At 39.7% G+C, this 22,128-nt stretch overlaps 1 protein-coding gene and 1 long non-coding RNA gene across 19 annotated transcripts in view, besides 3 other annotated features; one reads left to right on the top strand and one right to left on the bottom strand.

Moving 5' to 3' along the window:
* LOC105369823 (uncharacterized) overlaps nucleotides 1–11,274 on the top strand; it is a 64,494-nt gene extending 53,220 nt beyond the window's left edge. Inside the window, exons 4-5 of one of the 2 annotated variants that reach the window (XR_007063358.1) lie at nucleotides 10,739–10,793; nucleotides 10,899–11,274. This is a non-coding gene — a long non-coding RNA (uncharacterized LOC105369823). Of the gene's footprint in view, nucleotides 1–10,738 lie in introns of both variants that reach the window. The other variant, XR_007063357.1, reaches the window with a different exon arrangement.
* BEST3 (bestrophin 3) overlaps nucleotides 1–21,501 on the bottom strand; it is a 55,796-nt gene extending 34,295 nt beyond the window's left edge. For 4 of the 17 annotated variants that reach the window (NM_001282614.2, NM_032735.3, XM_047428380.1 and 1 more), the window contains exons 1-5: nucleotides 21,403–21,501; nucleotides 19,845–20,011; nucleotides 16,568–16,662; nucleotides 15,872–16,105; nucleotides 937–1,091 (exon numbers count right to left, since the gene is read on the bottom strand). In NM_001282614.2, coding sequence (NP_001269543.1) covers nucleotides 937–1,091; nucleotides 15,872–16,105; nucleotides 16,568–16,662; nucleotides 19,845–19,996 — 636 coding nt within the window. In that variant the 5' untranslated portion in view covers nucleotides 19,997–20,011; nucleotides 21,403–21,501. Of the gene's footprint in view, nucleotides 1–936; nucleotides 1,092–5,436; nucleotides 6,807–11,267; nucleotides 11,476–15,871; nucleotides 16,663–19,844; nucleotides 20,012–21,402 lie in introns of those variants that run through there. The other 13 variants (NM_152439.4, XM_011537962.3, XM_047428382.1 and 10 more) reach the window with 12 other exon arrangements.
* Nucleotides 10,524–11,723: an enhancer, noted in NCBI's record as "BRD4-independent group 4 enhancer chr12:70082106-70083305 (GRCh37/hg19 assembly coordinates)". NCBI's record gives its function as "activates an origin of replication core promoter dependent on BRD2, P300/CBP, MED14 and CDK7 cofactors, and independent of BRD4, by STARR-seq in HCT116 cells {active_cell/tissue: HCT116}" and the evidence as "EXISTENCE:reporter gene assay evidence [ECO:0000049][PMID:35650434]".
* Nucleotides 11,850–12,418: an enhancer, noted in NCBI's record as "OCT4-NANOG-H3K27ac-H3K4me1 hESC enhancer chr12:70083432-70084000 (GRCh37/hg19 assembly coordinates)". NCBI's record gives its function as "activates a minimal SCP1, AML or CMV promoter by ChIP-STARR-seq in primed H9 embryonic stem cells {active_cell/tissue: H9 hESC(primed)}" and the evidence as "EXISTENCE:reporter gene assay evidence [ECO:0000049][PMID:30033119]".
* Nucleotides 15,652–15,852: a silencer, noted in NCBI's record as "fragment chr12:70087234-70087434 (GRCh37/hg19 assembly coordinates)". NCBI's record gives its function as "represses an EF-1alpha promoter that drives an FKBP-Casp9 reporter gene in an ReSE screen in K562 erythroleukemia cells {active_cell/tissue: K562}" and the evidence as "EXISTENCE:reporter gene assay evidence [ECO:0000049][PMID:32094911]".
* Nucleotides 21,502–22,128: the final 627 nt, after the last annotated feature.

Raw genomic sequence — 22,128 nt, forward strand, 5'->3', positions numbered from 1 at the left:
TAGAAATATCCCCCCGCCATTCTATTGAACCCATAATTTCCAACATGTATATTGGCCCAAAGTCATGGTGAGAAGGAAATTGTTAATGTTTTAAATAAGTAATTTTTATCGATTTTGGTAGGTAATCTGGAAAGCAAATTTTTTGTTTCTCTCATTTTAAAACATGCTTACCGTAGATCTTAGAAAAGAGATATAATTACTCCTGTTTCCTCCCACAAATGGAGACTATAACACTCATATTGATAGAAAATCTATCTCTGAAGCAGGAAGGACAGGAGTCTTTGATTTTTTTCATCGATTGCACAAAGTTATTATGGAAGACTAGGGAAAAGAGTTCACATCAATTTGGGCGCTATTTTTAAACAATTCACTTCCGTTAGCCTAATCCAGGGAGGGGACTGTCATGGCACAAATATACCCAGCCCTTATATAAAAAAAATTTTTTTCAGATGATTTCAGGGTTATTTTGATTAATGAAAATACTATTTTACTTACTAGAGTATCTGAAAGGCTGGCTTAACCTCGCGATATTCCAGTTTTGGGGAAATATTAGGCTGGGGAGGTTTATTTCTCCTCCAGGTTTTTTTCAAGGATCCTGGAGCCAGGTATGGCAAATATACTACATGGGCACCATAGCTTTTCGAGCCCTTGGCGACCCTTGGCTAATCAATCAAGGAATACTTTCTTACAGAGCCTATTACAAAGCATGATTCTGTTTAAAACGCAGCTTCCAAGGAACCATTTCCAAGCAACCTGAGTTTAACCTGTGTACCACCTCTGTCCTGCATGTTGAGAGGTCTGACACTAGTCCAATCTTTCCAGTTCCTCTGGAACCAGGACTGAACAAAGCTGACTCTTCCTGGTCTAACGTGTTATATCCAGGTCCTTCTTGGTCTCTAATTAGCGTATTTTTCTTATGATTTATGATATACTTACAGTCATCAATGATTGCAGATCAACACTGTCTCTGATTCTACCTTCATTCCGGGCTTTAGTTGCAAGATTTCCAAACCAGATGAATGGAACCCAATATTTCAGATGAGGAGACTTGAGGTGGTTGAATAATTTCCTTTCATCTGTTGTCATAAAACCTTTACAAAAAAATAAAAATCGGTAGGTATACAGACTTAGTTTGACACTAATACGTTACCATATTTCAGCATCTATATAAAAGCATATAATGAGGGGATATTAAAGAAATATGGAATAAAGCTTCCTGTCTCAAGTAGTTTATACTTGCATTAGAGTTAAGGAATGTGTGTGTGTGAGCGCACATGCACACACACATACATATACATGCACACCCACAAGTTATATAAAATCCCTGATAGAGGAGGCCATTAGGAGGTAAGGAGACATTAAATGTGAACTAGAACATTTGGGGAAATTTCTTCTTTAGGTTTTGGTTTAGTCATCTAAAGTTGGGAACCATAATACTTGGAATTGTTACGATTAAAATAATAAAATATGATAACGTATATAAAGCACTTGGCATAGTGCCGAACACATGACTCACATGACTTTTCTCCTGATCTCTCCTTTCCAAGTCCTACTTAATCATGTCCTCCTCTCTGAAGCCTTCCTTGAGTCCTTCTTTCTCTTTCCTGAGGGATTTCTTCCCTTTAAAGTTCCCACATGGTACTCGCTCTTGGCTTGCATCATAGTAATATTACACATAAATGTTTCCCTTACTATGACCCTTTTGAAGGGCAAAGAGTATATTAATGTTCATCGTCCCCATAGCATTTTGCACATACTTTAAAATTGTTTCTTTGTGGCAGGGTGCAGTGGCTCACGCCCTTAATCCCAGCACTTTGGGAGGCCAAGGTGGGTGGATCACTTGAGGTCAGGAGTTCAACACGAGCCTGGCCAACATGGTGAAACCCCATCTCTACTAAAAATACAAAAATTAGCCGGGCATGGTGGCACACGCCTGTAATCCCAGCTGCTGGGGAGGCTCAGGCATGAAAATCGCTTGAACCCAGGAAGCGGAGGTTGCAGTGAGCTGAGATCGTGCCACTGCACTCCAGCCCAGGCTATAGAGCGAGACTGTCTCCCCTGCCCCAAAAAAAGGGTTTCTTGGTGTGTGTGTGTGCATGTGTGTATGCATGCGTGTGTGTGTGTGTGTGTGTGTGTAAAATGCAATTTGCTTGGGCTTGCAGTGAACTCTCTGAGCCTCAATTTTCTCATCTGTAAAAGAGAGATAATATTTGCTTCACAGGGATGTTGTAGAATTACCTGAGATGATGAACATGTGTCAAGATGTTATTTAGCATAACGCTTAGCACACACTTAGCACCCACAAAGCACTAAGGTATATTATGTGAAACTTTAATTTTCCTCTGCCTACTCCTCCCTCCCCAAACACCAAGGGAAGGGGAGATTGAATGACTGAATAAGAGGAATAAGGTAACAGGTTTATTTAATAAACATTTATTGAAGGCCTGCTATATACCAGGGTTTGTTTGCAACAAGATGCACTTTAAAACTTACAGTTTACACTTGATCTTTTTTTTTTTTTTTTTAGATGGAGTCTTGCTCTGTCACCCAGGCTGGAGTGCAGTGGCGCGATCTCAGCTCACTGCAAGCTCTGCCTCCAGGGTTCAGGCCATTCTCCTGCCTCAGCCTCCCGAGCAGCTGGGACTACAGGCACCTGCCACCACGCCCGGCTAAGTTTTTGTATTTTTAGTAGAGACGGGGTTTCACCATGTTAGCCAGGATGTCTCAATCTCCTGACCTCGTGATCCGCCCTCCTCGGCCTCCCAAATTGCTGGGATTACAGGCGTGAGCCACCGCCCCTAGCCGATCTTTTCTTTTTAAAAATTTTGACTGAATAATTCAAATGGTACAAAAATCCCAAAGGGCCAAAGGACTGTTAGTGGAGAAAGTCTCCTTTTCCCAGCCATAAAATTTCCCTCCCTGGAGGAAATCACGATGATCTGTTTATTGTGTATCTTTCCAGAGAAATCTCATGGATTTTCATACAGGCCTATTTTTAAAAACACAAATGATTTTATACTACATATGTATCTGCCATTTGCTTCTATTTTTCAGGTATATCTTGAAGATTTAAAAAATTAATATATAGAGAGCAGCAGCATTCCTTTTAATGGCTGCTCTCTATATATTAACATTAATTAATAGTTAATAGTATATAATATTTTATTTAGCTAGTTCCTTTTTGAATAGACATTTAAGACATTTAAGTTGTTTTTTATTTTTTTGCTACTAAAAATAATGCTGTAATGACTCTCCTGGTATTTACCCCCTTGGCTCTTTAAGTAGCTTTTAAATGTTAATTATGATTTAATATAAATAGTGTTTTCTGAATTAAAACTTACTTCTAAAACTGATTTTTATTAGATATTAATTTTTGAGTTTTTTTTTCTCAGAAATGCAATCATTTGCTTATGGAATTCTGATACTACATTCAGACGAAAATCAACTTTTGCCCTAATATAACACATTTTTCTATCTTTAACCATCTGTAATCAGTTAACAAATCTGGTTGTCCTATTTAAGGTAATCCTTTTGCCGGGTGCAGTGGCTCATGCCTATAATCCCAGCACTTTGGGAGGCCCAGGCAGGAGGATTACTTAGGCCAGGAGTTTGTGACCAGCCTGGGCAATATAGCAAGACTTCATCTCTAATAAATAAATTAAAAAAATCCTCCCTCCTTATGATGCAGGCCAAATTTTATTTAAGAGGTAGTGTTTCAGTAAAAAAAATGTCAAAGGAGGAGTGAGGTATGCCCATTTTTAGAGTCATCAATTTATAGAGCTTTGGTGTTCTCTAGATCTTTGATGTGACTTAGGCCGTTGTTCTTAAGAATAAGATCCAAAGGCCATAGGTCTGAATCACCTGTGATATCTATTAAATATGGAGAGGCCTGGACCCCGACCCTGACTACTAAATCAGACTCAGTAGGGCAGGAGTTCTCAACCCAAGTCTGCACCTTAGAATCTCATAAGGGGACTTTTAGAAAATACCAATGGCAGCAAGGCGTGGTGGCTCACGCCTGTAATCCCAGCACTTTGGGAGGCCGAGGCGGGTGGATCACTTGAGGTCAGGAGTTCGAGACCAGCCTGACCAACATGGTGAAACCCAGTCTCTACTAAAATTACAAAAATTAGCCGGGTGTAGTGGTAGGGACCTGTAATCCCAGCTGCTTGGGAGGCTGAGGCAGGAGAGTTGCTTGAACCCGGGAATGCAGAGGTTGCAGTGAGCCGAGATTGTGCCATTGCACTCCAGCCTGGGTGACAGAGTGAGACTCCGTCTCAAAAAAAAAAAAAAAAAGAAGAAAATACCAATGGCTGGGTCTTATATCCTTAGAGATTCTGATTCAATTGATCTAGGATGAGGCCAGGCATCAGCATTCTTTTAAATTTTCCTGGGTGATTTAATAGAATTGGGTCTAGGCAGTTGCATATTTACCAAGCTGTGCAGAAAATTCTGACACATAGTGGTGTTTGAAAATCACTGTCCCACTAACTGAAGGTTCTGTTTATTCAGGATTTGAAATAAACAAAGTAACAACTACAAAGCCAATATTTACCAACAGGAGACTAGTTTTAGATAACACTTGGGTTATTTATACTAGCTTAGAAGGGTTCTCTCCATGCCTGGAGAATGGTACTCTCCCTGGAAGTGTAAAATAAAAATGAGCTTGGTGATTCTCTTCTTGTTTCTCAGTGCATCTCAGAGTTGTTGCACAATCTAAAAAATCTGTTTTGTTGTTTGTTTTTTAAAGAATTGCAGAGCATGATTAAATTTTTTTTTTCAATTTTTAATGGGACAGAGTCTCCGTCTGTCATCCAGACTGGAGTGCAGTGGTGTGATCTTTGGCTCACTGCAGCCTCAACCTCCTGGGCTCAAGCAATCCTTCCACCTCTGCCTCCTGAGTAGCTGGGTCTACTGGCGCATGCCACTATGCTGGGCTAATTTTTGTATTTTTTGTAGAGACTGGGTTTCACCATGTTGCCAGGCTGGTCTTGAACTTCCTGGGCTCAAGTGATCTGCCCACCTTGGCCTCCCAAAGTGCTGGGATTACAGCTATGTGCCACTGTGCCTGGCCAGTTAAATCTTATTGGATGAAGTTAATAGATAAACTTGATCTGTCTTGGCTTTATGCTTAAAGACTTGCTGTAGCCTATTCTCACATATTCCATATCAATTGTCTAACAGTTATATTCTTGAGACATATAGTGCAATTTTAAAAAATGATCTCATTTATATATTGGCTTCAATCTCTGTCACTTGACCAAAGAATAACTTTATCTCTGGTTATTTTTTATTCAGAAGCATGGATCAAATTGTGCTAGCAAGTCCTTTCTTAGCTTCTAAGCAGAAAGCAAATATGCAGAGTGAGGGTTTATTTGGTGCAAACACTAAAGCAAGAGATTGAAAGAGGACAAGTAGAGCAAGAAGAGCTGGTGATTTTGTTTTTAGCACAAATTTATTGAGTATTTTGCTGGGTGCTGTGAAAGATGAATGACAATCACTGAGACATTAATGTATCCTCTAAGAATATATAAGCAGAATAATTTTTGTTATTCCTTGCAGGGTCACACATCTTACTTATCCAAAGTGTGAAAGGAAAATATCTTGGGTCCCCAAAATCACTAAGCTAAAGGGAAAAGTCAAGTTGGGAACTGCTTACGGCATACATGCCTCCCATTCTATTAAAGTCATTGCTCCATTCACTGAGATAAATGCATATCTGATTGCCTCCTTTGGAGAGACTAATCAGAAACCCAGAAGAATGCAACCATTTGTCTCTTACCTACCTATGACCCGGAAGCCCCCTCCCCACTTTGAGTCATCTCTGGCTTTTCCAGACTGAACCAATGTTTATCTTACATATGTTGATCGATGTCTCATGTCTTCCTACAATGCATAAAACCAAACTGTTCTGACCGCTTTGGGCACACGTCATCAGGACCACCTGAGGCTGTGTCACGGGTGCACATCCTCAACCTTGGCAAAATAAACTTTCTAAATTAACTGAGACCTGTCTCAGATTTTGGGGGTTCACAAAAGTAACTCCACCTTTGGAAATCAAAGTCGGTCAACTGAAAGAAAATCTCTAGGTTGTTGGTCAAGTCCATTCCAAAAGTATTTGTTATGAAATGGAATGTCACCCTCATCAGGACTTCAAGCCATTTTAAGCAGAGACCAATATTTTTTTCAGAATATGATCATTATTGTCATTGCTGAGGCTGTGCTAATTATAGTTACTGATTTGCTACAGTTCGGCAACACTCTGAGTGGGCTTGTCCTCCCACCACTTGGTTCCCTGCACGTGTCTGTCTCCATGCCATGCTCTCCTCAGGCCCCATCACACCCCTGGCATAGCTATTTTATCCTGCCGTTGCATCTGCCTACAGTTTCTCTTGCTATCGCTTTTTCTTCTGGCTGGCTCAGCTCTGCTCAGCAATTTTCATATTGTTTATCCCCAAATCCCTCCTTCATCTTTCTAATCAGAGTAAAATCTATCTCTCAATATAGATACATGTTTGCATTTACTCCCAATTGAGTTGTGGTTTGATGGAGCAGGATCTGCTACTTTAAGACAAAATTTTATTGCCCTCGAGCCAAAGGATTAATTACATCCATTGATAGACAAAATTCCAGTCATCATAGAGATTCTGCCTGCTGTACAGTTGCTCTATTTTTCCTTGATTGAAGTTGAGGCAGATGTCTTTTGCCTTTCAAGCAGAGTATTCAAACGAGGCTCTATTAGCAGAGGAACTAAAAGCTCTGCATCTCAAAACTTGAAGGCAGAATGGGTTTCATGCCAGTTCTTTCTGAAAGAGAGAGTTGTGTATTCAGCATCTGAGCCCTTCTCCAAGGGATGACACTTTTTCAGGAAGAGTGCAACGTGCCTGGCTTGTTTTTATCTCTGTGTTTTCCAAATGAATGGAATGAAGCCACCAGCTTCAGCTACAGCTGTCCTTTCCATTCAATGGAAGAGGTTTAGAAATCCCTGTCAATTGGGAAAATCAAGGGGGGAGCAAAATGAGATTGAGAGAGGGATGAAATCACATTGCAACAACATCATGCAGGGCAGGATGTCAACCAGGTTTTTTCGTTTGTTTGTTTTTTTACCATAAACCATAGTAAGATATATGTTGTTCACAAAACAGTTATTGGCCCTGCCACATGATGTGCTTTCTGCTGTTCTATTCTATTCTATTCTATTCTATTCTATTCTATTCTATTCTATTCTATTCTATTGTTCTCCATTCCATTCCACTAAAAATGCTGGTTACAACCCGTTAACCTGATTTAAGAATCCCATAATGAGTTACAAACCACAGCTGGAAAAGCCTGAAATAGGCTACGGTGGAGTAAAATCAGTTTCTGGGAGTAGCAATAAGGAATAGAGACAGACACTCCTCTATTATATTGATATGAGCAAATCTCTAGTTACCCATATCCTTGTCCATAAATTAGTATCCCATCTGGTAATTCACTGCCTTCTCCATAATCACACACAAGAAATAACATACAAAGAAATCAGTGCTTTTAAATCCTCATCTGCACAGTGGCCCAGAATTTTATTTGCCCTGGGTAGAATAGATCTGAGGCAATTTGCAGATGAAATCGGAGGAATTAATTGATGTGTTCTAGTGCAGCTGTTCCTAAACTCTGCTATACATTACAATGGTCTGGGGAGTTTTGAAAAATCCTGATGCCCAGGTTGCTCTACATACCTAATGAATCCTAATATCTGAGAATGGGAGTCAGGCGTCAGAATTTTTAAAAGATCACCAGAGATTCCAACATGCAGCAAAGTTTAGGTTGAACAACTGCCCTAGTGCTGATCATTTCAGCATTCTCAGTCTGGGTCAAACATCCTGCAGTGCTTCTAGGGAGCCTGTTTAAAATGTCAATTTCTAGGTCCTAAGCCCTAGATCTAGATTCTGATTCCCTAGGTTGCCTAGGAATCTGCAGTTTAAATAAGCACCCTGGCTAATCAGTGAATGTGGTCTGCAACCATACTTTGAGAAACATTGAGTGGATAGCCTTTATTTAACTCCTGAGACAGAAATGTGGGGGGAACCTTCAAACACTGACCAACCGACACTGCCTATCCATGCTATTAATTCAAGAAGGGCTAGTTTTGCATGCACTTTCTCTCATGTGCAGAGCAACTACACATAGGTGAGTCAAGTTTCACTCACAGGATGACATTCTGTCTGTTCCGGGCTCATCATGTGAGACTACAGAGGGGTGACTTACTCAGCCTCTAAAAGTTCAGCCAACAGAGGAAAAACTGGCACAGCTGTGAATACCACTATCCCCTTGGCTCTCACTCTTGTAACACAAGGCAGTGGAGATTCAGAGACCAAGGAACCCCAGAGCTGTGTAATGGATCAGGAAAAAAAAAAAAACAAACAGCCCACCCAGGGCAGAAATGTTATACCAGATTCAATTAATTTTGTGAATGTTACATAATATGTTATATAAAAGTCATTTTAGTTTACCTAGTGAGAGAGGAGAAGATCACAGATTAAATGATCTGTCTGTGCCAGAAACGCAAATGTGGTTCTAACAGTATTAATTCCATGTTAGAGAAAAGCTTGCTTGTTTGAATAATATTATTGTTTTCCTTGAGTTTGTACATTAGTCCCAAAAAACAGCCTCAAGAAAACAGGACCTTCAACAGAGATAAAAGAAAATATGCTGGCTGGGCTCGGTGGCTCACGCCTGTAATCCCAGTAATTTGAGAGGCCGAGGTGGGATCACTTGAGGCCAGGAGTTCGAGACCAGCCTGGCCAATATGGTGAAACCCTGTCTCTACTAAAAATACAAAAATTAGCCGGGTGTGGTGGCCTGTGCCTGTAATCCCAGCTACTTGGGCAGCTGAGGCAGAAGAAGCACTTGAACTGGGGAGGCAGAGGTTGCAGTGAGCCAAGATTTCAACACTATACTCCAGCCTGGGCAACAGAGCAAGATTCTGCCTCAAAAAAACAAAAAAAAAAGAAAGAAAAGAAAAAAAGAAAGAAGGAAAATATGCTGACCAACAGCTCTGGGAATGGGCTGACTAGCCTGTAAGAATAGGCTGATGGCACCTGCAGAAGGTCGCAAAACTTTCACCAAGAAAGCAATGATTAACTGCCCAGCTGACTGAAACTGCTCACATTTCACAAGACTGTTTTGATCTTCATTTCTCTTAATTTCCCTTAGAAATCCTTTACCTAGAGGCACAATTCTGAAAGGTGGCCTTTCAACCCAGTTCACTGCCTTCCCCTGGTTGCTGACTTCTCAAATAAAGCTAACGTTCCTTTTACCAAAGTTCCTGAGTTGTTTGGCTTTTAAGCAGTAAGTGACCCAGACCTGAGTTCCATTTATAGGGCTAGACTTAGAGCCAGAGCATCTGAAGTTAGAACTTTTATCTCAACATCCATTGACAGCTGGTGGCTTGCTTGGTTATATTAATGTCTGTTAACCATAAGTGTCACTGAAAATTCCAGTGGAGTCTCATCAGGCTCCCTGTAGTCATAGAAGACAGTCAAGAATCTTTACATTAAGATTCCAGGGCAGGCCAGGTGTGGTGGCTCACACCAGAAATCCCAGCCCTTTGGGAGGCTATGGTGGGAAGATTGCTTGAGGCCAGGAGTTCAAGACCAGCATAGGCAACATAGTGAGACTCTGTATCAAAAAAGAAAAAAAGGAAAAAAAGGGATTAAACAAATAAATAAGTAAATTGGCCAGGCACAGCGGCGCACATCTGTAGTCCTAGTTGCTCAAAAGGCTGAGGCAGGAGGATGGCTTGAGCCCAGAAGTTTGAGGTTACTGTAAGCTATGACCGTGCTACTGCACTCCAGGTTGGGCAACTGAGTGAGAACGTGTCTCAAAAAAAAAAAAAAAAAGACTCCAAGGCTTTAAGAAAATTAAAGGGTGTTTTTTTCCTCAGAGGTTACTGTCTTATAACTACTCTTATGAACTACTAAATACAGACAGAAACTATTTATTTTAGAGAGAGAGAATTGCAATGCAGAGATGTAAAGTTTAACTGTAAATATATTTGTGCTTGTTTATGACAATGATTAATTTAAGATAAGATTTGTAGTAAATTTTACTAATCCTTGAGTATGGGGACCATATTTGTTCTGCTTATAAGGGTAGTCCCAGTGCCCAGCACAGTGCCTGGCATATATTGTACACACAATAAACCTTTGTTGCATGAGCAAAGGCGTAATAGTTCTAGCACCAGCTTGGTAATGTTTCTTTAAGAGGAATGTATATAATTTCCTATTACATATCATTGTGCTTCTGGTAAGTAATTTTGAAGATAACTACTTTCCTCTCCTGATGCTTGTAAATACTAGATAAGATGTTTTGATTCAGTATGAGACCATACTATATGCACACAACTAAGGTCATCACTTGACTCAGCCAGGATCTGGAATTGTGCATCTGACTTGACTTGGAATGAATGACATCTCCCAGGGCAGGTGATTGGAATGACTGGAATTTTCCAGAGCAGATTTGTAGCCAATAGGCAAAAGTAACAGAGACTGTTGCAGTTTCTCTGATAAATAACTGATCACAGACCAGTTCAGGGACTTTTCAGCATAATAGACATTATTCCGAATTCCACTGTTGTATTTTTATTTTCATATAAGCAGAAACAAAAACTTTTTTATTTTTAATTTGAGAAATTTAACCTGTAGCATCAAATTATATATATTTCCCCAGCAGCATGTGTTTTGGTCTTGTTATTTTTCAGAATAATGTAACTTGACTGTCCAACTTAAAAGCAAGAGAAGTTCAAGGATGAGCAGGTATGTGACCTAGTTCAACCAGCGCCAGCCAAGAAATTGCCAGATGCTTCAGAAGGAGGTGCTGGTCCTCACTCTTGGCCCTCTCGCTTATTTCCTTCTGGCCAGCACTGAATCTATGGAGGCAAAAACCCTTGCAGAAGAAAGAGAAGCTGGAGGGAAACTGATTGCCTCAAAGCCCATTGCTTCCCAGAGCACAAGCCAGGGACCACCAGCCTCAGAGTCTCCAGGAGTTTGTTCAACTCATTGATTCCTGGAGCCCATTCCAGACCTACTGAGTCAGAATCTCTGGGAGTGGTATCGTGGGATCCAAATTTTTAGCAATATTGATTTTAACAATATGTAATGCACCCTGAAGTTTGAGAACATGTACTTTTTCTTACAGGTGATTTTATGTAGAGAATTCAACTGACAAGAAGGTCCCTCGTGCCCTTAACCTTGTCCCCACCCCTTTGGGGCCCTCAGTGCTTTACTTACCAGTCCTCTCTGCCCTCAGGCAGGAGCAGGTGCTCCGGCTTTGGACTCAGGGAATCTGCCAAACATTTTCCGCCATCCCTGAACTTCCTGTTCTTCCCAGAAACCTTGGCACAGGCAAAGGACAGTCAGAGAGTGGCGGAGGCATATGCCCAGTTGGAAGAACTTGGAAGCAGACCCCATGTGCAGACTCTGAGTCAGCCCTCTCTGCTGGGGAAAGCAGCAGGAAGTTCAGTGAGTCAGCGCTGCCGGTGACAGCGGGTGCCGGCCTGGGGCAGCCAGGAAGACAGGCCTCCGAAGCGTCTCTCCTGGCTTAGAGGATAGTGGCTTGGAACCTTTGCCCTGCCGCCTAACACACAATGCTTGCGTATAGTATGGTCTTATACTGAATCAAAACATCTTATCCAGTATTTACAAGCACCAAGAGAAGAAAGTAGTTATCTTCAAAATTACTTACCAGAAGCACAATATATTCCTGTGGGGACAAGATGTACCTACTACCTCTTTTCTGCCTTTTGAGAAAATACTTAGGAATTAATGAGAGCAACTGGGACCTTTTCACTGAGATAATCAGTGATTGTGTCACAGGACCCTTGGAAAGGCTTTCACCTCATCACAGCTCCTCTGTCAATTCTCTTCTCCCTTCATCCGCTTCAGACAAACCAACCAAAAAGTTTAAGTCAGAACAATGCTTGTTACATCCAAGCAGGTGGAATTCAGATCCCTTATACAGTAGCCTCCCACCAGACTGCTTCCTCAAAGCTCTTCTTTGTAATTCATGACCCTCAAGCTGAAACCTCGAATCCATCCTTTCTTAATTGCTGCTGCTTTGTTATCAGTAATGAGTTGGTGGTTGCCAAAGCCTTTTGCCCCAGGAGTGAGAAAAAGGGTTTAAAAAATAAGCATCCCAGAAAAGATGCAATACTTCTCAAACTTTGGGGTACTAAAAAAACCAACACAGGAGCATGTTTCACTGCAGATTCCTAGGCCGTACATCCAAAGGTTCTATTAGGTTCTATAATAATTCAGAGGGACTGACGTGGGTGGGACCCAGGAATATGCATTTTAAATAAATAAACTCAAGTTATTCAAGATGTAGAGGGCCTGTGGGTCTGTGGATCACTCCTAGAGACTAGTTTAAATGTACATCCAGAAGTGAAGGACTCATTTTGAGATTCCCTTGGAATGGCAGAAACATTGGTAGCTGAGCAGATAGAAGTATTTCAGTATTCCACATGCCTCGGAAAGGGAAAAGTCTGAATGCAAGTACATGGCAGACATCTGTACAATTTTGAGAGGGAGTGGGCCTTTGTATTCTGAAAAATACACTCAAAGGAAATGAAATCACGTCATTTTCCTATTTGCCTCCCTATATCTACTTGCCCCTCAGACCTGAGCACAGCTCAGTCCTCGGAGCTCATGTCTGACCAGAGGCCCCAGAGGCCTCTCCATTGCCAGCCAACCTGGCTTCTTCCTGGTGTGCTTTTAATATGAAGGTGACACTAAGAAGATGAGATTTGCTTTGAGGATTGGACCCGGCATCTGATTCCTGTCAGAATGCACTCTCTTCATTTCAAGGATGCGTCAGAACTAGAGAAATATCACCTCTGTTCATCCAAGTAAACTTTAGCTCATCAACTTGGAATAGGTCATACGTTTCTTGTTTGTTTTTAGGTCTTTCTTAGAGACGGTAATTCTTAATCTATTTGTTCCTGGAGACATTAAGGTAAGATAAAATTGAGCTGTCTAGTAGCATTTTTAACTAGGTCATTCTGAAACAGTATTCTACTTTCATATTTGGAGGAAGGATGGCAATTAATTTTTTTTTAAAGTTCCTACTGATTTTACATTATCATATACCTGTACATGTGCCAGGCCTTCAGACCCTCCCCCTGAATCCCCCTTAACCAACTCCTGGCACCCATTACTTTCTCATATCTCACTCTGCGTCTCTAACAACATCATCTACACCCTTCTTCCTTATTTCAACCTTGACATTCACAACCTCTTGATCAAAGTAGATAAAAAAGACCTGGGATATTATATTAATAACAAGTCTTCTAAAGTGGCTACTGTGCTATGTTATGCTGTTGTTTGAGATGTAATTTCATTACAATGGCAAGAAATTATGCAGCACTTACTGTGTGCCAGGAATGCTCTAAACATTTTGCAAATGCTAACTTTTTTAATCCTCATAACAAGCCTATGGGATATATGAGGTAGGTGCTATTATAAGTTACTTTAAGTCCATTTTATGGATAAGGAAACTGAGGAACAGAATGGTTAACTAACTCAGACAAAGTCATGTAGCTAGTAAGCTGTGAGATAAAGTTTCAAACCCTTACTCCGTGTTCTTAATCATTGTGAAATTTGATAACATAATTGGGTCATTCTTGTCGTACCCAACTAAAACAGAGTCAAGAAGCCACCAGGAAAAAGCAGTTGAGGCCAGGCATGGTGGTTCACGCCTGTAATCCCAGCACTTTGGGAGGCCGAGGTGGGCGGATCACAAGGTCAAGAGATTGAGACCATCCTGCCAACATGGTGAAACCCTGTCTCTACTAAAATACAAAAAATTAGCCAGGCGTGGTGGTGTGCGCCTGTAGTCCCAGCTGCTCGGGAGTCTGAGGCAGGGGAATCGCTTGAACCCAGGAGGCAGAGATTGCAGTGAGCCAAGATAGCGCCACTTCACTCCAGCCTGGCCACAGAGCAAGACTCTGTCTCAAAAAAAATATTCTTTGCAGGCCTGGTTGCTGAAACTGCCTGCTATTACCTGAAACCAGTTTTATAGTTGCTGAAATGATCTGCTGCAACTTGAAGACTAATTTTACCCACCTCCATCACTCACCAGTCAAAACTTGCCAGCTCCCCAGAAACTTACTAGTGCCAATGAACTTTCTCAAAGAGCAATATGTAACATTTCTGTCTTTTTATAAAACCTCCAACCTTCTCTTTGTATTTTGGACATACTGAATACCATCTGGTCTGTGTGTATGCCTCAAACTGGAGTTCTTTCTTCTCAAATAAAATGTGAAATATAGACATTCATCTCTACAGTTTTATTTTGACTTCAGTAGTTACTATCTGTATTAGCCATTTAAGAAGGCAAAACAAAAACAACAACAACAAAAGAAGCCAACACAAACTCCAAAACAAACAAAATCCGAAAATATCTATTTTTCAGGACATTTCAGAAAAGGAGACTAAATACTGCAAACTAATGTGAGACTGGACTCAATGTGAAGGCAGAATCACCTCACGCTTCTCATCCATATGTGCCAAGAATTATCTCATGTAATCCTCGCCCTACTGAAGGCTGACTTAACAGCTTCTTTGCTAAATATTTATACACCAAAGAGAATCATCCTTTAACTATCTACATCTCCTTTGAGGCACAAGAGACAAGAGGTCCATACTAAAACAGCTTTTGACTGTCACCTCTCAGTGTCTGCCTAGATGAAACTGACATTGCCAGTTCCTACCAGAATCTATTAGAAAGTATTAACTTAGGAGTTTGGAGCCTAAATTTTAATTCTGGCTTTTCCACTGATCAGCTGTGTAATTCAGGGCAGGTTATAACCTTTCTGAATCTATTTTCTACCTTTTTCATGTTTTCTTGAAGTCCAAATGAAATAGCTATAAAGGAGACAAACCGTATAGTGCTGGAAAACTGTAAGTTAATGTGACAGATTATTTTTATTTATTTATTTTTTGGGGACTGATGGGGACCTTGTCGCCCAGGGTGGAATGCAATGGCATGATCTTGGCTCACTGCAACCTCCACTTCCCAGGTTCAAGCGATTCTCCTGCCTCAGCCTCCCGAGTAGCGGGAATTACAGGTGGGAGCCAGCAAGCCCAGCTAATTATTGTATTTTTAGTAGAGACAGGGTTTCACCATGTTGGCCAGGCTTGTCTGGAACTCCTGACCTCAGGTGATCCACCCGCCTGGGCCTTCCAAACAGCTCGCCCAGCCAGATTGTTTAATAAATATGATAATTATTATGTTTACCTTAAGGCAACGTTACTATCTGCCACTTTCTCTCCCCCACCTCTGAAGTAAACTTGAGGGCAGGAACCATGTCTTATTCATCTTTGTCTCTTAGTTTGCTTCTGGCACATAGTAGGTAATCAATAAATGTTTCTTTTTCTTTTCTTTCCTTTTCTTTCTCTCTCTCTCTCTTTTTTTTTTCTTTTTTCTTTTTTTTTTTTTGAGACAGGTCTGGCTCTGTGGCCCAGGCTGGAGTGCAGTGCTGCAATCTCGGGTCACTGCAACCTCTGCCTCCGCCTCCCGGGTTCAAGTGATTCTCATGCCTCAGCCTCCCCAGTAGCTGGGATTACAGGCACACGCCACCACGCCCGGCTAATTTTTTCTATTTTTAGTAGAGATGGGGTTTCGCCATGTTGGCCAGGTTGGTCTCAAACTCCTGACCTCAGATGATCCGCCCGCCTCCACCTTCCAAAGTGCTGGGATTACAGGCATGAGCCACCGCGCCCAACCAATAAATGTTTCTTGAGTGAATAAACAAACATAAAGAATTTTCAAAGGAATTCTGGAGGTCCTGTCTCAGCTGAGAAGAGCCCATGGAAGGAAAAGCCATTCATAGTACCTGCTTCAACCACGTGGTCCATTGTGGGAAATCTTTTGTACACAGCAGTGCTCACCGAGCGAAAGATGAGCAGGGAGGTGAGATTGACGTAGCGCATCAGCGTCCTTCTAAGCAGGCGCCCGTGCTCGTCGCTTCCGTGAACACTGCTAGAGATGAGGAACATTAGCCTGTCTGGCCAGGGCAAATTCACAAACTGGTTCCACCATCGGTTCACTACCAGAGTAACATAAAACCCTGTAGAATAACAGGAAATTATAAAGCAGTTTCTTACAGCAGACACGTTGGTGACACTGATGCTTTTAGCTGAATTTTAGCCTTTTTAGAGGTTGGAGGACAAAAATATATTATTATCCATATCTTCTGATTTTGCCTTCCAGAAAAAAAATGTCATTTGTGCCTGGCAATGCCTAAGCACCCTGTAAGTGGGTATTAGATCTCAAATATTGACTGCAAAAATGGAGAGTTAGTGAAGAGAAAGCTTAAATGTCCAATAGCAGATTATTTCCTCAAACTTGTTTGGTGTTAATTTCGCAAAAGCAGCCGTGAAGGCAAACCTTATGGATGATTCTGGTTCTATTGCAAGCGGTGGCTTTTCAGGCATGCCTCTCAGCTTGGAAACACTCCCATGCAGAGTCATCGGTGTCATCCTAACGGAGACAGCTATGTGGCTGCAATCTGCGTGTGACCTATACTTACCAAGCACAAAGGTTACTGGAATTTGTTCAGCATATCTGTCACAGTAAATTGATAATTTTTCAAAGTAACGTTTTTGGACTCCTGTAAGTAACAATCTGGAGCAAAAATAAAATGCACAGCCCTTTATGATATTATACTTCTGCACCTGCTTTGCAAGTGACATTAAGTGCAAACAATTAAGCACAAATAATCTTTTATTTTTGAAGGATCAATAATTTTTTCCTTTTTTCTTAAACTGATGTGTCTCAAAAGCTTTTTAATTGCTTAATGTCTCAAGTGCTAACATTTTGTAAACATGATTGGCTATTAAATAGTGGGATTAATTAATCATTTTATTTTAAAAACTTTATATTTTAAAAGTTTTATATGATTGATTCATTGGATTTAGAGCAAGGTATGTTACAAAATAGTTCAGTTTTCAATTATTCATCAGGAATACCTTAAAAAGAGTGTATTATTGATTAAGTATGAATTAGCATTATTAAGTAATTGTTAAATAATAACACTGAATTTGACACCTTGATATTTCTCCTGAATATGCAACTTAGCACATTCTTGATTATCATGTGTATAATATCCCTTCAAGGGATATTATAACTGTTCATTTTAAAGCCCAGAATTGTTTGGAGTCTAAAACAAATTTAACAATGAGAAATGAAAACTTTCATTATTAAATTTAGTCACTCTCTCAAAATTTATATTATAGATCTAACCCAACCTGCCCAAACCCCATTTTCTGGTATTGTTAAACATAAGTGCATTTAATGAGACTATTATTGATATTTACATTATAGGGAAGAGATTCAGAGTCTGGAGAAATGTTTTAAGGCAAACTAATAATAATGACCAAAATACAGGAAGGAAAGCCAAACAGATGAATTTGAATAAATCGACGAGTGTAGCTGTTCCAAAGGAGGAAGGAACTCAAGGAAAGATCCATTATAACAAGCATCAAAGGCTCATTTGGGTCAGTAGAACTTTGATAAAGGAAGCAAAGGGATAATGAGATAACAGTAAGCAACCAATTAGATTGCAGATAGAGAGCTGTTGGGAGCTGGTCCTGACAAAGAAGGTGTGTGGGGTACAGGGTGAGCTTGGAGTTCCTGCCCCAGCTTTGGAAGAGGTGTTAGAATTACTGAAGTCAGGGAAAGCTGACAGGAGAGGTACCAGATTGTTGCAGAGGTCTATCAGGGTTATGCTGATGACAATTACAGCCAGAATGGTTTCTGATGTTCAAATAGACATGGTCAAAGAGGATTTAAATGTGGAAAGCATGGACCTTTTTTAAGGTCAGACAAAGCCAGATTTTAATTCCAAGTCTGACACTTATGAATTTGGACTTTGAGCATATTTTTGAACTCTCTGAGTCTCAGTTTTCTCATCTGTAAGTGGGGATAAAAATATCTATATATAAGAGGCATTGTAAAGATTAAATAATATATGTATACATATATATAACCACTTAACAAATTGCCTCATACTTAGTTAATAATAAAATGGTTCATATTAATAGTTGGCCAAAGAAAAAATATTTGGCTAATAGATGTAGAAATTTTAATAGCTAGAAAGTATTTCAGAAATTATTTTGTCAAATTCCTCCAAAAATAGAAATAAATGTAATCAAATTAATGAATCTGGTTCCTCCTTATAATTTTTGTTAGGAATAATTATGTACCTATAATAGAGCTAATAAAGACTTAGAGAATGAAACTACATCTATATTTTTCTATAGATGTGTTTGATTTTCTTGACAAACTCATCCTATAGTTCTTGGTATACCTTTGATTAAGATAGAAAGATCTATTTTAATAAGGTATTACAATTGAACTTTAAAAATTTAAGGATGACTTGAACTGATAATTTTTGTTATAAATGTAAGCCCTCTGCTTTAGAAGAAATATATGCATAAAATGTTGTGGGGTATAAGTATGATATTGGAACAAAAGTTGAGGCCCCAAGGAACATTTCTAGCTACATTGCAACTGTACTAAGGGCTATTCTGTTCTATTCTTAGCAGAAGTAGCAGCAATAAATTCACATTAGTAAAAATGAACTAATGAGATAATTATCACGAAACACCATTGTATCTTTTACCATTTCATATTCTGAAGGCTTAGGTGATACCTACCTAAATTGCCAAAATAATATCATATTATATGACATGTCTGAAAAATTATTAGAGGTTGTTAATAGGACTTTCCCTCTAAAAATATTTTGTCAAGATATATACCAATGCATACACTTGCTTGGAAGGGTTGTTTTGACATGTGGAAAAATAGCTGTACCTATTTTACTTTTAATAATTATCAGTCAACTACATTAATATCCCTCTTTTCCAAAGGAGATCCTGTTGCTGCAAGGAAGAATGTGAGAGCAATGAAACACAAATTTGTTTATCTGTATGCAGAAGAAAAATAACAAACTATGAACATAGAAAAAATGGAAATACAGCCTCAAAAACCTTTAGCTTTCCTGTTTTAAATTTTAGCTTCCTCCAGAGAAGAAATTTATGCATTCAATTTTAATAAAAAAAGCTTTAAAATCTCATAAGTCTTCCCTTTTATCATACTGATGAAATTTTATTAAGACTATAACTTTTCATCATAAAAATATTTCTTGGACTTGATATTGCTCAAATTTCCTGTCAATCTGACAGGCATATGTTGTAATGTTATAAAGAATAAGCACCTCCTTTTGTGAACATAATATACCCTCAACTCAGAAAACGGAAAGAAAATAAATTATTCTACAGGCCTTTGCTTTAGTTGAGGTACTGTTAAGTGTGGCAGGCATCATCCTGGATAAGATATTTTCATTCCAGGCCAAAAGAAGGAAAGCTTTTCCCTGACATACACCAATCATGAACATGTTGATTATATAGGTAGTTGCTACAAGCTGTCAAATCATCAACTATGAATGACAAGTTGACAGAAGCACAAATAATTATTGTCTGTGGACTTTGCCCATTCAAAAGTCTTTACACAGTAAAGATCTAAGGATAATCCTTCCATTTTGTGCCTATTGCAACAGTCTCGAGGCACAACTGGGGCTGGAATGAAGGCCACCTGAATCTTAACAGTGAGGGTCTATTTTACAACCTAACAATGGTTAGTGGTGGATTAAAATCTGTCCTGAGGGGAAGAAGACAAATGAGAGGCTCACGCAAAAAAGGAGTTCCATAATGCGAAGTCAGTGGCAATCAAAAGGTTCAGATTTTTGAGACTGTATCTTACACAATATCTGATGGCCATTTAAGGAGACATGTAAAGAAAAGTACCTGTATACCAAACTTATTGCTGTATAAAGAACAGCAAAAACAATAAATTCCCTGTACAGTAGTTTGTAGATGCTGCCTCTCCACTTGAGGAGTAACCTATGAAATCCAAAAAAAGTTGCATTTGCTACTTTACTGGAGTAAGTGACAGTCATCTTGGATAGTTTTTTCTAGAAGAGCAAGAAGACAAAACACAAGTAAAAAGCAATGTTTAAAATAGGGCATAAATCTGTATGTCTGTATATCAAGGAAATTCAAGCCAGCAACTAGTCAGCCATATCTCTGTTTTGTCTTTCTTAGTTTCTATAATTCGGAACTTTCAGATAACCATTATCTCAGTTTAGCAGAAAGCAGGAGGAAAGCAGTCTCTGGGAAGAGTAATATTAGACATCTTAAACTTGCCTTAACTGTTAAATATTATTTTTAGATTATATAGCCATTGGCCAATATATATTTGAATGAACAAATGAGACAAACAAGGCCCTCGTGAGAATTTAATTGATGGGGCACTTTTGGTGGGTTTGATTGCATGTAGATGTCTCTCTAGTGGAGGTCCAAATGCATCGTTAGCACTCATTGCATTTCAAAAGTCAGCCAAAAAGTTGGGTCATAGTGATAAATAAGAATGGTGCAGTTTCCCCATGACAAGTTGTACATAAATGCTTAGGGATGGTTCACATTCTCTTTGGAGTTGAACAAAATGAGGTCATTATTTACAACTCTTTCTACTTGAGTCCATTTCATGAATGTGGTTAGGATGAGCACTGGGCCCAAAAGCCTTGTTTTTGGTGAGTTCTTTGGAATTCCACCACTTTTCACCAAGACATTAAATATTCAGGTTTTGAAACAGACAGCGCAAAGCTAATCTTTGAAAATCTTGCTCAATTTCTGGCTAAGATAGAACATATGCAAATAAAATGAGATTTATTTAAAATCTTACTTTTCTCAAAAGGATCTATGAGGAGAGTCTTATAGAGCTACTTAGACTGAAATCATGAAGCTTTTAGATAGAATTGTACTAGACACAAAAAATAAATTCTGTAGCAGATTTCTTTTGTAAAGTAGCCTACACCACACATTTTATCATAAACAAGAAAATTTTCTATCTTTACTCATTGCTGGAAAAACAATTCAACTCTGATTTGCCTATTTTCCCTAAGGAAATGAAACTCTGGAGCTACGTTTACAGCATTTTCTAAAATCACAAACTTAGCTTTCAACATTACTGATTTTAATAAAGAAGGTAGGGCCTTTTGGCACAAGTAAGTGGCATTACAAAAGGATGGGACTCATGCCACAAAACCGGTTTTATTTTTCCATCTTTACCTTGTCTATTTGCCTAGTGCGAATACAGCCAAAATTGGGAGAGGAGCATAATAAATTAAACCCATTTCATAATTTGTTCTCATGGACTCCCGGTAGTTTTAAATAACAGTCCTTAATTAACTTTCCTTTCTTTCATTTAGTAGTTCACTCTTCTTTTCAAGCTCTGCCAGGAAAATGAAAATCACAGCAAGTAGAGGTCAGAATTAAAATGCATAGGTTTACTCTGGGCACTAACCTATTTATTTGGTTTGTAGTCTCCGACAGGAAAGAGAATCTTCAAATTTCGGGCTCCCCCGAAGAGGTGCCTTCAGGTCGGTGCTGCACGCCCGGTGTCACCCTTCGCTCGTGCACAGTCAGATTTTCTTTCTGTTCTCTGGCCACTGAGAGGACCCAGAGTGTGACAAGAACAGGGGTTAAATGTTTTTCCACTTGTAGAGGCCTGTTTATGCCAGTTTAGCCACTGATGACAGTTATAGCTGGGAACAAACAGAAGCAACAGCTGCTGATGCTGCTTTTTTCTAAGCTATAATTATAACTCCACCTGCCACCCCAAGTACCCCTTTGAATGAGAAGTTGGCAGTGACATGAAGGATGTTGGGCCGTTTGTCTGTTAGATTCATTTGACTCCACCCTGGGATCAAGGAAGAAAGGTTGATTTGGCCCTAAAGAGTTCAAAAAAGAGGCCCCACCAGCCAAAAAAAAAAAAAAAAAGTCTTTTTGTGCTTGAAATGAAGATTAAATTCTTAAAACTGGGCTGGAACGCGGTGGCCCACACCTGTAATCCTAGCACTTTGGGAGGCTGAGGCAGGCAGATCACCTGAGGTCAGGAGTTCGAGACCAGCCTGGCCAACATGGTGAAACGCTGTCTCTACTAAAAATACAAAAATTAGCTGGGTCTGGCGGTGGGCTCCTGCAATCCCACCTACTTGGGAGGTTAAGGCTGGAGAATCACTGGAACCCA

This window comes from Homo sapiens, chromosome 12 (assembly GCF_000001405.40).
Source record: "Homo sapiens chromosome 12, GRCh38.p14 Primary Assembly".
NCBI lineage: Eukaryota > Metazoa > Chordata > Mammalia > Primates > Hominidae > Homo > Homo sapiens.